The following is a 16,690-nucleotide window of genomic DNA, read 5'->3' on the forward strand; positions in this document are numbered from 1 at the left end:
CTGATTTCGCTCCTGTCTTGCCCAGCACCCCTTGGGACACACTGTCCAGTGCAGGGACACTTTGGGGAGGGACAGGGGATTCCTTGGCACCGGGACCTTCACCTCCGAGCCGGCCTCAGACCAGGCCATTTGCCCGTAGCCCAGAGGAGGAGCCGGGGAGAAACCCGCTGCCCAGGTGGCCACTTTTGCCTCTTTGACCCTTCCATGTTTCCAAAACAGAAGGGGCCCTGAGAACGCTCCCTGCCAAAGTGGGGAACAGCTACCCTCATTGTACGCCTCGCCCTGCCGGTGGCGCTCTCCCCCCGCCTGCGTTCGGTCTGAAAGTGTGAAAATTACAAATCCCAAGAAACTGCAATCAGAAGTCTACCTAGGGAAAATTCAGAGTAACCTTGCCATAAATATCCCGCTCCAAGACGCCTGACGTCAGAGCGGGGCGGGCGGACGGGCGCGAGGCCGGGCCTGGAGGGGCGGCAGCCGCGGCTTCCCGGGGATAGCGCGGAGCACGCAGCAGCGAGCGGAGCGCGGGCGGCGGCGCCGTACCTCGGGCTGCGGGAGCGCGGGCGCCCTGGGGTCCTCGGAGTAAGTGCGGCCGGCCCTGGCGCTCCCCGTCTTGGGGCCCGGGCCGCGGGGAGCCCTCTCCGCTGGGCTCCCACACTTCTCTCCCTCTGCTTTCTTTAGCATGCCCCGCGGGGCTTGGGGAGGCAGCAGCTCCGCAGGCTGGCGGTTTTGTTTCTCCAAAGTGTTTGCAGGAGCCGCCGACCCCGGAGTGGGCTCCCAGGGCCTGTGTGTGTGTGAGTTGTGTGTGTGTATGAGTGTGATTGCGTGTGTCTGTACTGGCACATCTGGACATAGGAAATGTCTTTGGAAAACTTTTTAAAAATGTTTTTTGCGGCTTTGAAACCTGACCCCTGGTTGTCACAAGTGGACAAACACAGAAGATACCCCGCAAAACTGACAACTTTTTGGTGGTGGCTTTTCCGGGTTCGGCTTGAACCTTCACTTGGCTGGGCTGAAGTCTTCACAAGCCCCCAGCTCCCACTTGCAGGCCTGGCCTCTGGCCAGTGGGCAGGGCAGCCGTAAGGTTCTTGTTCTCAGTGGCAGTGGGACCCTGGGCGGGGGAAGGAGCATCTCAGGAAAGGGGTCCCCGGACTCTGGGGCTCTCAGCACCTGCGGTCGCAAACCAACCTCATGCCCTGACTTTACCAGGCGTCGGGACTCTGACTTAACCGGGGAATGAGGGACTTGGTCTGGCGGCAGGTAATTTTGTGAAGAGGATGAGAAGGAAGAGGGGGAGGTGGTGGTGATGGCCAGGACGCTGTGGCCCTGTGTCCAGCCGTAGCTTGGGAGTGGGATGGTTGGTTCTGCCACATGGCCACGGTGAGGTACGTGCCAGGTTCTCCAGGAGTGCCGCGTGTGGTGCCCCAAACAAGATGCAAGCTCCTAACATAAAGAGACGTGTCTGAGCTGTGGGGTGGAGGAAGGGGGGCGGTGGGGGAGAGGGAGATTTTTATCAAAATTGAACACAGATTGCTGAGATCTGGGCTTGATTTAACTCTTCTCTCTCTGCCTCGGCCACTTCTCCACAGTTTTGGAGTGGATTTGGAACGTTTCTCGGAGGGTTAGAGGAAAATCACACCTCTCCGGAAAAGAGTCCCCATAGGTTTTCCCTTGATGCCCACGTGGGAATGAAAGCAGCTTCCCATCTTTAAAAAGTTCAAAGTCTTGTGTTTTCCCCCTTCTGAGTTTGGTGTTAGTTTCCTGAGTTTCTTTGCAAAGCCAGCTGAAGCGGGGGATGGATTTTCCCTAGGGCCTAGGGCGGAAAGTGTGCTCCACGGAGAGTAGGGGAAAAAAGCAGCAGTGAGGCTGTATCGATCCATCATCCCTGAGTAGCACAGTGCCAGGCACTGCCTGTCAATAGCTGGGTTCCACAAACGAGTGACCACAGACAGACTGAATTTTCAGCTTTGAGCTAGCCAGGTCTCTGGTTTTGTATTTTGCAGTAGAGCCAACCTACAATGTCTGGGTGGGAGGAAGATTACTGGACTCTCCCTCTGTCCTAGAAAAATGAGAAAATGAAGGGACAGGGAGGAAATCTGGATGTAAAAACAGACCCACAGGAAGTTAAGATTCAGGAAGGATTTTAGAAATTATATAAATTGAACCCCAGGGAAGCTCCATAAAAGATGGAGCAGGCAGCAATGTCAGAAACAGACTCATTTAACTTCAGGAGTACGTTGTCAACTGAAGTGTAATGAAGGAGGAGGAAATCATCCCATAGGCAATGTAAACAAGGGTGCATGTAAACAGGAGTGACTGGTCCCCATGAGATGCACATGCCTATGTGTTTTTACACATACATGACTGTGTGGTGATGGCCATGGCCTTAGACATGGGAGGATAAATGGTCTATTTCTTCATCTGTGCTGGGAACTCCATCTAACCCCCATTTCTTCCTTTATGCAAACAACTGTGCTATTATTGTCTTGCTCCCTGGTAGTTGCAAACTCTGGCTCCTAACTCCCAGCTGAGTTTTCAGAGCTTTTCCTCCAGCGCCTCGGATGCTGAGGGAATACTCGTGCCCCCATCAGGACAAAAAGAGGAGAGAACATTCTCCTGGGCATTAGAACTTAGAGAGTCAGGGGCTCAAGAAGGCGGAGGCTGTGCAGGCAAGACCAATAGGAAGGCCTGTAAATGATTTTGTTTTTGGTGAGCGTGGAGGAAGTTGAAATACTACTGCTTGCTGTGAGAACATGTTCTCTCCCCAGTCTTCTTTCCCGACTGTCTCCAAAGTTTTTGATGCAAAACAGATTAAACTCCCCATTACTAAAGAGCCTTGGATCCAGGTGTAAAGAATGAAGATAAAGGGTAAGTACAGGCAGTAGAGAAAGCATAGAGATAATGAAAGATGAGGCTTTCTTATTTGATTTTACTAGAGCCAATGGAAGTAACAAGTTTAAATGTTCTCATTCATTTCCATTATTTAAACATAGAAGACTACCCAGGGACAGAAGGGACCCCTCGGAACAGGATTCCCAGAAATACTCTTATCCCAGCATACAACTCCTCAGGGACAGGTGAGGGGCAAGAACTGGGTTTTCAACTCTTTCTACATGTGGGGTTTCTGGGAGTGCTGCATGTGGGATCAGTGGAGTCCTGATGCTTCTGGGCTTGTACTAGGAGACATTTCACTATGGCCGGGATGAATTCCCAGGCCATGGATGCCTAGGCTGACATTGAAGCCTTCTCATGGCTCATTCTATCAGTTCAATCTTCTGGCCAGCTCTTTGGTCATCTTTGAGATTAGATTAAGTAGATGGGATGCATTCCAAGACATCCTTGAAGGTCCAGAGGGCAAACACAGCTGGCAGAAAGAACAAGTTGAAGGATATCCTTGGCTTTGATAGCGGATGACCCTCTAGATCTCAACAGCCAGAGACTCTGTCAAGGATCCTGTGTCATTCAGCCCTAGACTTCAGAGGCAGCCCGACAACAATGGAAAGAGTGCAGATTTCTGATCAGCTGCCTGGAGAGAGAGAACTGTGACCTAAATACGAATTAGTAACCTGGGCTACATGACTTATTCCTTCTGAGCTTCAGCTTCCTCATCTGTAAAATAAGGATAGTATTTCCCTCCCCAGGTCATTATGAAAACATTTATGCACAAGAACTAAGAACAGAGCTCAGAATGTTATAAGACCCTTCATAAAGGGAGTGCTGTATTTTTATTTTTCAGTTTTTCAGCCATCACAAGCCAGTATTGCTTGGAAAGAACCTCTCCCCAAATCTAGCTACATATTTTCCATGATTGAAGGCTAGTGGGTGGAGTTTCTAGGGCTCTGATCATCCTTACTTCCTTCCTCTAGAAAAGGTGACCAATGAAGATATTCCATGAGCATCCCTGGTCCATTATCCTGAAGTGTGGGAGAAGAAACCAGGGATCCTGGATGTCTGGCCTAGAAATCACTCTTGTGTTTGTGCTCTTTAGGGAGGGAGAAGGACAGAAGAGCAGGTTGTATAAGTATGGTGGGGAGGGGAAAGGTAGGGAGGTGGGGGTAGGGCAGGAGGGTCAAGGACCAATTGGATCTTGAAGGACAAGCCTGAGTCAGAGAGCGGGTAGGCAGCCACTCCTTGTCAAGGGTGCTCAGGTCAGAGTAATGGGGGAATCTGATGGGTTGTAAAGAATGAAAGCTTTAGTCATTGCAAACATCTCCAGTGGGTATGGGGTGGGAGGCTGCCCCCTGAACCCTGATTGATACATTATCCAAGGGAGTGACTACTCCAAAGGAACAAAGGAACATCTGATGTTAGAGAGCAGCTGCAGGTCCTCTTGGCCCATCTCAAAGCTTGTAAGTTATCCTTCAAGTTGACATTTAAGATTTTGAAGATCACATTTGTTTTTGTTTTGTTCAAGCTCTCTCTTTAACCATGGCCTGGGATGACTTTTAAGCTTTTAAGAGGCTCAACCAGTGGTCAACTTCTCTTGAGATGGCCCAGAGCGGGGGTCAGTGAATTCCTCACTCTTGGCAGCATCTATTTCTCCAACTCTCTCCACATTTTTTGGTTTGTTTTTTGTTTCATTATGAGGTTCTAAAACTGCACAGTCAAGATGCTGTGGGGGGAGGAAGTAAGTGCCTGTTCTTGGAACCTGTGCAGCGTTATGCTAGCACTGGCCAAGACTTATCAGACTATGGTTATTAATAGGTGTTATGGGTTTCTTTCTGGGGTCCCCCTCCAAAAAAAAAAAAAAAAAAAAAACCTGTAAAAAAAAAATGAACTTTAGGCAGTTTGATGTCTCTTTCAATCCTGGCCAAAGAGGAGCTGAATTATTTGTGGTACATCCTATGGTTCCAAGGAAGAGCTTTAGAATCAAGCAGACAGAGATTTGAGTTCTGGCACCACCAGGTCACAAGCTTGCTAACCTCTCTGAGTCTTCTTTATCTGTTAAATGAGAACAATAACTATTCTCATTCCCCAGGGTTGTTCTGAAAATGAAATGGAATGATATAAGGGAAGAAGCTAGCAAACTGCTCAGTAAAATGTTAATGCCATTCCCCTCTCCAGTTCTAAGTCCGTGAAAATACATGGGTTTAGACATTTGTCCACAGGTCAAAGTAAATAAGCCACTTATTCAAGGATTAACAACTGTGCTTGGAGGTCAGATATCTCAGCCTGGAGATGGAGACCCTTTATACAAAAGTGGGGCACAGAACAGTGCTCCCCATGCCAAGCAAATGGCAGCCCCATGTGACCCTCTATTGGAATAAAGGAAAGGCCACTAGCTCACTCACCCATGAATTTGGGCTATTTAGTGAGCTCTCCATAGAGCTTGTTTAAAAAGCTCAAATACTGTCCTGAGAATCAAGGTCAAACTGAGGACAGAAATCATTGAGGCAGTACCTAACATTAAAATCTAATAATGATGTCACAATGACAGCAGTATTTTAAATTTATATAACATTGTATCATTTGAAAGGTACATTGTCTCATTTAAACATCGTTGACAATCATATGAGATTGATATTAACCACATTTCACAGCCCAAATTCTGAGGACTTAAAAAACTTACCATATTTCACACCTTAAGTAAGTGGAATAAACAGAAAACAAACTGTTCCCCAAGCAGTGGGTCTCAACCCTGGCTGCACATTAGAACCACTTGGGGGAGCTTGTAAAAGTATCAATGCTTGGGCCCACCCCAGATCAATTTAATTAGACTCCTTGGGAATGGAACCTAGGCGTCCACAGTTCTGTAAGCTTCCCAGGTGATCTGAAGTCTAAGCTGAGAATCACTGGTCTAAGAGGAGTGAAAAGCACCAAAGTTAGGACCCAGGATACCAGGCATGGGAAAAAGAAACAGCCAAGACTTTGCTAGGATTTAAGCCCTATGAGGGTGCAGACTTCGTATGGTTCTCCCTGTATCCCTGGAGCCTAGGAGAGTGCCAGCTACAAGGTAAGTGCTCAATAAACATTGGGTAGATGAACAAATGAACAAGATACCATAGATTAGAAGTTGTCAATTTCAACAGTGAAACCCAGCTTGTCATCTTGTTTTATAGATAAAGTTTTATTGGAACACAGCCATCTCTGTTCATTTGTGCTTTGCCTATGGCTGCTTTCGTGCTGCAATGGCAGAGTTGAGTAGATGTGACAGAGACTGCATGGCCTACAAAGCTGAAAACATTTACCATCTAGCATTTCACAGGAAAGGTTTGCTGGCTCCTGCTCTGGATCCCAGACATGAACAGAGCAAGTATAGTAGCTTAGGGAAGGTCATTACTGCATGGTTGTTAAGAATATGGGTTCTAGAATCAGATAAACCTATGTATGATTCCTGGAACACTTACCTATTAAAAGAGCTTGCAAATTATTTCACCTTTCTGATTCTCAGTTTTCGCATCTGAAAAGTGGGGATGATAATAAAATACCTCCCTCATAGGATGACTGTGAGGGTTGTCAGCCCCTGGCGGAGAGTAACATTAGCTATAGCTATGGTAGTTGCTGTAGTTACTAGCAATCAGCCACATAGAGAACTAACTAGACAAAAGTCAAAATCTAAATCCAGTATCACAAGGTAGATCAAGGGATGAAGTAGGAAAAAATAGGCAGTCAGTAAGCTTGTGTGAAGAAAGACTAATGTGAGGTTTCTGAGATAAATGGTGTCCTTTTAAGACAACACAGATCAGGCCCCAGGAAGTGTGAGTGAGGTGCTTTTGTATGACCAATTGCTGTGTCGGCCAGCAATCCCCATCAGTCCTCAAGGGTTAACTTAAGTTTCATTGCACCAAATCTAGTCTCAAGAACAGTGCACCTGTATACATAGTTCTTTCTACCTGAAAGTCCTTGCCTCAGTCCTGGTCTTCCTGATCTACTCATCCTCCAAGGCCTGCTCAGGTGTCCCTTTTTTTCTCAAATTCCCTCTACAAGGCTCATTCCAACCCCCTTTTCCTCCTTATTCCCTTGAACCTGGCACACAACTCTGTCATCACATTGAACACATTGCATTACCGTCGAGGAAGGACCAAGTCTCCTTCATGCTTTCTACATGTTTACAGCTCATAAAAGTCAAATTGCATTGTAGAATCGACGCCTGGAAGCCAAACCATATCAACTAGGCCCTTAATCCAAGGCAATCATGTCTGAGTTTGAGGAATGAGTAGGACTTGCCCAGGTGTGATGGGCTTGCAAGAGCTAGTCTCCATAACCAGAGGGGCAGGAGCTACCCAGTTTATCGACTATGTGGATACTTTGTGTCCTCGTCTCCCCACTGTTTGGTGGCTCCTGCCCTCCACAACACTTCTAGGGGGTAGCCAGAGACAGGGAAAGATGGAAGAAACTTAAAACCAACTCTTTGATTTCTTGTCAGCAGATGTGGTGAAAAGTCGGGTTTTGTCTTCTGTAGGCTTTTCATGGATATGTGCCAAGATAATTGGGAGTTGATTTGGTATGTGCCAAGAGAATTGGGATTTGGCTCTTTCGTTAGCACCGTAATAGAAATATGGCCACAAATAATAGCAAACAAATAATGCACAGTTTTGCTGTTTGACTACAGAATGTGTTGCATAATTTTTATAGACTTTAGTGGCAGACTTATTTTGGTGGCAGATATATATTGTGTGTGGAATAATGTAAAAATGAAGTTCTATTCTGATGGTGAAGGGGAGGGCACAGAAAACTCTTCACCTTGAGTTAAATATTTCTTTTGATCCTCCCCAAATGAACGATTGGGAGCTGCCTCCTAAGAGGGGCAGGAGGAGAGGAAATGAAATACTATTTATCTATATGCTCCACTATACATGACACTAGGCAGGTCATTTTAAAAAATATATTCTTCATTTGATTTTTCCATATTATGAAGGTAATTCTTTCTTGCTTAAGCAAGTGAATTAATATCATGCAAAGATATATAAAGACAAGTAGAAATGTATTCACCCCCTTCTACACCCTGGTAATTAATGTTAATAGCCTAGTAATATATCCTGCTGTAACTTCATTTGTCCATACAAATACCTACTGGTGTGTATACAGGATGGAGGTATTTTGCCTGAGTATTTTTCACTGAAAGGGAATCTTATAGTACATGTTACTCTGTAGCATACTTTTCTTTCCCTTGACCATATGTCAAGGTCATCCTTACACTGGATGTAACTCATTTTTATTTTTTCTGATGTCTTTATGCCTAGACTTACACAGCTTTACATATTTGGGATCACATTGTTCCTGGTGAGGTGGTCATTTTGTCATCAGTCAGCTATTAAGTGTGGTTTCTTTCTGGATGATCACTAGATTGGGTCTCTGAGCTGCCAGATCAAGCATCATCCATCACCCAGGCAAGCTTTGCTTTGGCTCTTAGGCTGCGTGACGGATGTACACAGCCTGCTGACCACCCTGGGGTGTGACTACCTGGTGTGTGTGGCCTCCTTGTGTCTCCTGGGCCTGGGGTAGCTATCAGGCATCAGGCCCCTATGACTGCCCTTCCTGCTCATCAGAGTTAGGCTTACCTCCTTGGAGCTCCTTAATTACTGAATATGCGGGAAACATAGCAGGATGATCAATGAGATTGGAGAACAGTTTTGATGGAGCAAATCGGGCAGCATAGTATAATGGCCAAGCATGTGGGCCCTGCACTCAACTTGCCTGGCTGGGTCCACATCCCTGTGTAGTGGACACTGGGCTGTGCTCTCTGACCCCTTTGAGGACTGAGTCCCCAGCTGCAGGGAGTGCTGGACATGGTTAGCCTTTTTGGAGCAGCCCCGGCTAAAGAGACTTGCTGTGTCAGGCACTCCTGTCCATGCTCCTCTCCTGGGTCACCCTGAAACCAATGATGGTGGGGAGCTGTGACTACCTGGCCCCTCTGCCGCAATGTGGGACAATTCTAACGGGCGTGCCAGCTTCAGGGCTCCCTGTGGGTTTGGCGGAGGCCTTAGCTGAGGCTACATCAGAGCTTCATTTCTCCCTCTGCCCAGTGCTGCCTCCAACCTGCCCTCCTGCCTGGAGGACTTGACTCGAGGAACCCTTCCTAACAAGCCTGCTGCCCACTGTACTCCATCCCAGAGTCTGCATCCCAAGAAGAAACCCTACCTACTTTGCCATTTAATAACTTGCCCAACAAGTTATGAACCTTGTCTGGGCTTCAGTTTTCTTATCTGTCAAATGGAGATAATAACATTTCCTTCCTCATGGGGTTGTTGAGACAATTAAATGGGAAGATGCATGTTAAGTCCCTGGCACAGTACCTGGAAAAATGCTACAAGTTTTAGCAATTTTATATAAAATCGTTTTAGAGGAGTTCATTATTTTCTAGGTAATTGTTGGTAGCTATGTCAGGATATGAAAAAGTACATTTTTCCCCCTGTGCTTTGTGTGGTTTTTAGGCAACCCTCAACTGATTTCTCTACAAATAGAGCTGTGGCAAAACTGGGCAGACTGAGTGAATGTCTTGACTTTTATTGGCAAATTTGCTTTTGTTCCCCAACCCCATGCTAATCTGAGGGGTGTGGATGTATCTGGGTGGAAGCATAATGAGATGGCCTTGTTGCCGACCTGCCTGGAGACAAGGGGCTGGACAAGTTGACTTTTGGGAATTCCTCTCTACCTCACCTGTGCTTCTGCAGTATGAAGGGGGTGGTCCCAAGGGACCCTGCTGGCCCACTGGGAGCCGCCATCCTGCCTGCGTGCTTATTCATGTCATGACTGCATGGCTGTCTGCCAAATCTGATTCCTCCTGATGGGTGTTTGTTGCTTGCTCCTTTGTCCCAAGCACAGGCGGTCTTTGGTGCTGTGCTTTGAACATTCCGCCTTTCAGGTTATGTACACCCATTGTCCATCCAGAATGCCAAAGCAAAGCTTGCCTGTGTGATGAATGCTTGATCCGCCAGACTCCGGGATCCAGACTCACAGCTCATGTCTGACCACATTCCCGGGGGGTCAGTGTTAACACTCCCTTCCTTGTTTCCTCCCAGACACCAAAGCCCCCTGCCTCCAAGTTCCCTTGACCAGGGCAGGGAGGGGAGAAAGTGATTCCAGGTCAGTGGGAAGATACGTCAATATTTTCACAGTGCCAGAGGCAGCTCTGAAGTTATTTTGAAACAAATTCAGAGTTTCTGTGGACTTTGGGCTGCAGAAGGATCAAGCTATTATAACACTCTATTTCTTTTGTAATCTCTGTCAGTGTATTAATCAGACTGTTCCCCACCAGGAAGCATTGCACTAGCAGCTGCCCAGAGATAGTTAGGAACTGCTCGGCCCTTCCAAGACACAAAGTCAATAAGTTACCATCCTCGCTGCCCTGAACAGAGGTAATGTTATCGATGTCTGTGGCTGCCTAAATGGAAGCTGAGGCTGACAGCTGATAAACAGACCAGGTTTCTCAACTGTTAGAGGCAGCATAAAGCTGTTTTTCAGAGCACAGGCCCTGGATTCAGATGGCCTGGATTCTGATTCTGGCTCCACTTCTTGCTAGCTGTGTGACCTTGCACAAGTTACTTTATCTCTCTGTGCCTTAGTTTCCTCATCTGCAAAGCAGATTGTTTTGGAGGTAAAGTTAATACATTACTTGGTTAAAAAAAAAGAAAAAAGAAAGTCCTTGAAATCATGTCTGGCACATAGTAAGCACTAAGAAATGTTAGTGAGGATGAAGATGATGATGGTGGTGGTGGTGGTGAAGATAGTAGAGAACAGAGAGTGCATCTCATTAGCTGTTTCCCCAGCATCCTGCATAGTGTCTGGCACAGAGTTAGGTCTCAAGAAACATTTATTAAATAATACATCCCAGTGCCTTTTGCTGTCTACTGCCTACCTAGTCCACTCAACTCTCTACCAAAGAAAGAAATATACTTTCCATTAAAAATTTTTATTTTGTCTTAACTTTTTATTGAAGCCCAACATAAATGAGAAAAAATACACAATTTTTGAGGATGTAGCTCAATATATTTCCATAAACTGAACATCCACCACCCCAGCCCTGCCCAAGAAGCCCCCTCGTGCCCCTCTCTGGTTACTACCCTTCCATGATCCTGACTTCTAGCACCATAGATTAGTTTTGCCTTTTCCTGCTCTTCATATAAATGGAATCATACAGTGGGTGCTTATTTGTGTCTGGCTTCATTTGCTCAGCATTTTGTTGTTGTGTAGATCATTCATTCTCATTGTTGCGTAGTAGTCCATTATGTGAATACAACATACTTTACTTTTTCCATTTTTCTGTTGATGGGCATTTGAGTGGTGTCAAGTCTGGGGCTGTTGTGAGTAGCCTTGCTGTGAACATTTGTGCACTTTTAGGTGAACACATGAATGCGTTTTTCTTGGTATATTCCTGGGAGTAGAATTGCTAGAGCCTTCAGCATGCATATGTTCAGCTTTAGGAGGTATGGCCAAAGTTTTATAAATGAGTTGTGCCATGTTTTGCATATTCTTGACAGATGAAGAAGCTGTTCCAACTCAATAGTGCAGAGGCTTGACAGTGATATACAGGGATTCCTGAGACGTTCACAGCTCCCAGGCTCTTTCTAGCTGAGAGTTCACATGTTCTAGAAAGTCTGCTGGGGTAGGTAGTCCTCTAAGAAGCAGGCAGTGTGCCAGGCATTTTCGCTTACACTGTTTCACCAAATCCTCACAGCAATCCCATGAGATGGGGAGTGGGAGTATCACTCCCTTTTCACAGATGAGGAGACTGAGGCTCAGATGAGGAAACTTGAGAGACTTGCCTAAGATGTTAGAAGCAGAAACTGTCAGGGTCAGAATATAAAACAGGGATGCCCGAATCTGAAGCTCATGCATATTGGATCCCATGGTGACTCGCTTTAGCCTCAGTGCTAACACTGGAAGGAAACACAGACACAGACTTGGGTGCTGTCCCCCTAGAACCTGTGCAGGCTGTGGGGTGGGGGCTGTGAGGAGAAGTCCTGTAAAGAGGAACAGACATAAGCAACTCAGTGACCTTGGGAAGCCAAATTGTTTTCCTGCCCAGGGGCTGCTGGAGAGTCATGAATTTCCTGGAAGGCAAAGGCGACCATATAATTTACTTTCTAAACCAGGACTCTCAAGAGTGAAAGGGGCATTAACTGGATGGGACACTGGAGGGAATAGTCACAGACTGAGACTGTCCTGGGCAGCCTGGGACAATGCTCACCCTCTGGAAGTCTGTGTGGGCATTGCTGTCCTGGTCAGTGGGGCTGTGTGGGTTATTTTTAACTCTTTCAGAGCACTGTCTGTCTGGAGTTTGGCCTGATGTGGCATCCTCCCCAGCCTCCTCTGTTTATGGGAAGAGTCTGGCAGAGCCTGGCTTTTTTCTTCCCCTTTCCACACCATTTCCTGTTCAAATGGCGCTCTGACGAGGTGAGCTTCTTTTCTCAGATTCAGTTGCTGTTGAGACTCTTCTGTTAACAGATTTGATACTCCTAGAAGGTTAGGACTGTGCCTAAGTCACTGCAGTGTTTACAGTGTCTGGTGGCAGACACAGAGTTAGCGCTCAGGGGATACTTGTTGACTGTATGTATCAATTATCCCTGTGTGTATTCATTTACTCAGTCACTAGCTCACTCATTCATTCATAGTCCATAAACAAGAACTTGGTTTAGATTCTTTCCTTTTTTTCTGAGCTGACGCCTATTGCACTGGTCCAGAAAGAGAGATCAGTTCTGTGTGTGTGTGTGTGTGTGTGTGTGTGTGTATGCATGCATGCGCACATACACATACAAAGGACAAAGAATAAAAGGGATCAACTTAATTAGTAACAAAAGATGTGGTATCATGGGACTTGGTGTCAGGACTTAGGTTTGAATTCCAGCCTTCCTCTAATTAGCTGCACCGCCATAGATGAGCTTCTGAGCATTTCTAGTCATGTGTGAAATGGAAATGACAGTAATACTGGTGGTACCAGATTGAAGTGAGCCGGAAGGTGTAAAGTATATGAAAAGTGCTTGGCACACTGCAAAGTGCTGTGTAAGTCTTATTTGTTAATGCTTGTGGTCACTCAACAAACATCTGGGAAGCTGCCTGGTATGAGACACTGTGTGCTGAGTCAGGTGTTGTGGAGTGAATTCTGGTGAGCAAAATTCCCGCCCACCTCCAGAGCTCCAGTCTGTTAAAGTGAGGTTGACTGCATATGAGCCAAACCCCTGTGACTGGGAATTTTTATTAATAAGAAAGGAATCAGCAAATTCCTCCAAGGCCCTAAGGATTTGATGTGGGTTTCCAAGATAAGGATGCAAAGGATAATTAATTTCTTATTAAGCCCACAGCTGCATTTTCACCAGAACAACAGCAAGAAGCATCTAAGGGCTTGTGTGCTTCCAGGAGAAGTTTTGGTATAGCACAGTGATTTCTAGTGCAGATTCCGGGAGTCAAACTAGTGGGACCTAAATTCAAATTTCACCACTTGCTAGGAGTGTAGTCTTGGAAACTGAGCCTCAGTTTCCTCATCTGTAAAATGGTGATGGTAATGATACCTACTCCCAAATGAGGATAAAATTAATATATGTAAAATACTTAGAACAGTGCCTGGAACATAGTATGTACTCCATAAATATTTATTATTATTTGCCACATAGTTTTCTTTCCATTGGAATGCTAGGTATTATACTACATGGTGTTACTGCAACACATGGATGAGGAAATATTCTGAGTTGGGGGAAGTCAGGGAAGGTTTCATGGGAAAGAAGTATCCTAAGGTTATTTTTTTTTTTTTTTGAGACAGAGTCTCGCTCTGTTGCCCAGGCTGGAGTGCAGTGACACGATCTCGGGTCACTGCAACCTCTGCCTCCTGGGTTCAAGTGATTTCCCTGCCTCAGCCTCTGGAGTAGCTGGGACTACAGGCACCCACCACCACACCCGGCTAATTTTTTGTATTTTAGTAGAGACGGGGTTTCACCATGTTGGCAGGATGGTCTCCATCTCCTGACCTCATGATCCACCCGCCTTGGCCTCCCAAAGTGCTGGGATTATAGGAGTGAGCCACCGTGCCCGGCCCCTAAGGTATTTTTAAGGTATCTTTTATAACCTGAACAAGACTGGCTTATTTCTACCATTACGCTGTTCTTAAAGCTCAGAGAAAATTCAGTGTGGAAGAATTTCCTTCCCTTAAGAAACATAAATCAAATGCCTCCTGAAATTTTGAAGTTGAATAACATGTGGTCCTTACTCTCAAGCATTTCCAAACTAGTTGATCTATTTTGCCACCATCCTTGAGCCAGAGACAGGGGACATATAGATGAGTCCTCAAGGTACTCAGCAATGTCATGGGGGAAGGATCTAGAAGTGAAGATTATTGCTATAAGAGGGAGATGCTCAAAGTGGATGGAAATTAAACAAGTCCGTCTTGCTCAGAATGTAAAAGATATTTGAAAAATATCTTAGGATGCCTCTTTCTCATTTAAGAGTATTTGGGAGTAGAAGGACATTGTGGAGTCTCCTTCCAGGTATGTTATTAGAGGAGCCATTTCATCTGTTGATATGGTCAATACGTGGTGCTTCTTGCAGTAGGAAGATGGACAAATGGTTCCTTTGATTCCTCCAGCCTATCTGCTATACCCATATAGCTATGTGCCTTGAAGGTGAAGGGTATGATGAAATCATTCAGAGCTGCTCCTAGACAATGACAACAAGGTCTAAAAAGTGCATTCCCCACATTGCCCAGGAATGGCTGGAATTTCTGCTTCATGTGATTTATCTCTAATATTATGGCTTATTTAAAAAAAAATCCCTGTCTCATAGCCAGGATGCAAAAGGGAGTCTTCCCTCTGCCTCCATCCTCAACCCTTCTTTCCTCTGCAAGTTTTCCAGTGAGGAATTAAAATAAAAAATCCTTTAGTGTCTTAAAGCATGTAAATGTAATGCTAACATTAAAATGATGCCATAGAATCATAAACATATGAAAAGATGCTTAACCTGACTTGGAATCAGGGAAATACATAAATTAAAATCACAAGGAGACTCTGTTTTATACTCATCAGATTGGCAAAAAAAAAAAAAAAGAAAAGAAAAAATCATGCTCATCATACTGGATGTGGAGCCAAAAATAACTCCTCTTCACTAAGGGTGGAATTAAACTGATAGGAACACTTCAAAGGGCAATTTGACACTATCTGGTAAAACTGAAGATGCATTTACTGTAAGACCCAGCAATTTCACTCCTAGGTAAGTCCAGACAAAGTCTAATACATATGGAAAGAAGATATGTTCAGGAATATTCACTACAGCATGGTTTTTTAGAGCTAAAAAGCAACCCATATATCCATTATCAACCAGAAGACTGGTTAAATAATTTGATACATACATACTTACGGTGGAATACTATAGAACACAGCAAAAAAAAAAAAAAGGGTGCTAGACATTGTTAAAGACAGATACTAGTGACATATAATCTCAGAAACGATATGAAGTGGAAACAATATTAAGCAAGTTGCAGAAGGATGCCATTGCTAGTAAGTTAAAATCATGTAAAACAATACTCTCTTTTATTTACAAACATTTATATGTATAATTAAAGCATAAAATTATGTTTGTGAACAACCATAAAATTCAGAGAAGCGGCTCCTTCTAGGAAAGGCAGTAAGGCAGACCAGGGGAGAAGCACATAGGGGCTTCATTTATATCTGTAATATTTTATTTCTTAGACTGAAGGGTGGGTATACAAATGTTTATTTTATTTTTGAGACAGAGTCTCACTCTGTCACCCAGACAGGAGTGCAATGGCGTGACCTCTTTTCACTGCAACCTCCGCCTCCTGGGTTCAAGTGATTCTCCCACCTCAGCCTCCTGAGTAGCTGGGATTACAGGCGAGCACAACTATGCTTGGGTGATTTTTGTATTTTTGCTAGAGATGGGGTTTTGCCATGTTGGCCAGGCTGGTCTCGAACTTCTGACCTCAAGTGACCCGCCCACCTCGGCCTCCCAAAGTGCTGGGATTATAGGCTTGAGCCACTGCACCAGGCCTAGTTTATTATTATTTATATTTTTTAGATATCTAAAATATTTTTTGGTTTAAGCAAAGCTAATTTTAAAAACTAGGCACAGACTCCTAGTTCATCTCCCTTGACCATTGGTGAGTAGTTATGCTGAAGAGTGAACAGGAAGCTGTCTCCTATTGGCTGTAGGTCCATCTGGAAAATTTCAGGTAGATGTGACATCTCCAAATAGGCTCTTCTCCAAACATCTATATCTCATGTGCACATGGTAATCACTGTTTTTGACCTTTTTTTTTTTTTTTTCTAATTTGCGGATTTGTTGGGATCATATTTTGATATACTGGTGGAGATGCCAAATAGGGTCGTAGTAGTATAGGTTGGTCCAAAAATTATGGCAAAAACCATGATTACTTTTGCACCAACCTAATAGAAACCAAACAGCAACTCTGTGGCTCATTCCCACACAGCAAATTCTGGAGCCTTCTTTCTCCCATCCCTTCCTTGAGAGCTACTGGGATTTCTTGCAAGTGCTAGAAAGTGACCACAGGCTGTCCTTTTGATAAGGACATGGGACCAGATAATGTCAAGTGCTTCTCATTGCTACAGGGTGAAAGAATTTTCCTCTCTCCACCATCACTGCCTTGTCGCCATGAAGTCCTCCTTCCCTTCTGATTTTCATTCATATACAGCCATTGCTCTGTTCCTTTTGCGAACACCCCAGCCTGAGGTGGGAAAGTACCCACCACTGGGAATTGCTTCACTTTCTTTTACTTGACAATGAAGCCATG

The 16,690-nt window shown here is 45.1% G+C and overlaps 1 protein-coding gene across 12 annotated transcripts in view; it reads left to right on the plus strand.

The window, feature by feature from the left end:
* Positions 1 to 489: 489 nt before the first annotated feature.
* The window catches only part of DAAM2 (dishevelled associated activator of morphogenesis 2), a 112,494-nt gene continuing 96,293 nt past the window's right edge, over positions 490 to 16,690 (plus strand). For 4 of the 12 annotated variants that reach the window (XM_047418535.1, XM_047418538.1, XM_006715046.5 and 1 more), the window contains exon 1: positions 1,094 to 1,257. Coding sequence is in view for 5 of the 12 variants with exons in the window: in XM_047418531.1 (XP_047274487.1) it covers positions 2,906 to 3,074 (169 nt within the window). In the remaining 7 variants the exon portion in view is untranslated. Of the gene's footprint in view, positions 2,866 to 2,886; positions 3,075 to 16,690 lie in introns of those variants that run through there. The other 8 variants (XM_047418537.1, XM_006715043.3, NM_001201427.2 and 5 more) reach the window with 5 other exon arrangements.

Source organism: Homo sapiens, chromosome 6, assembly GCF_000001405.40.
Source record: "Homo sapiens chromosome 6, GRCh38.p14 Primary Assembly".
Lineage (NCBI taxonomy): Eukaryota > Metazoa > Chordata > Mammalia > Primates > Hominidae > Homo > Homo sapiens.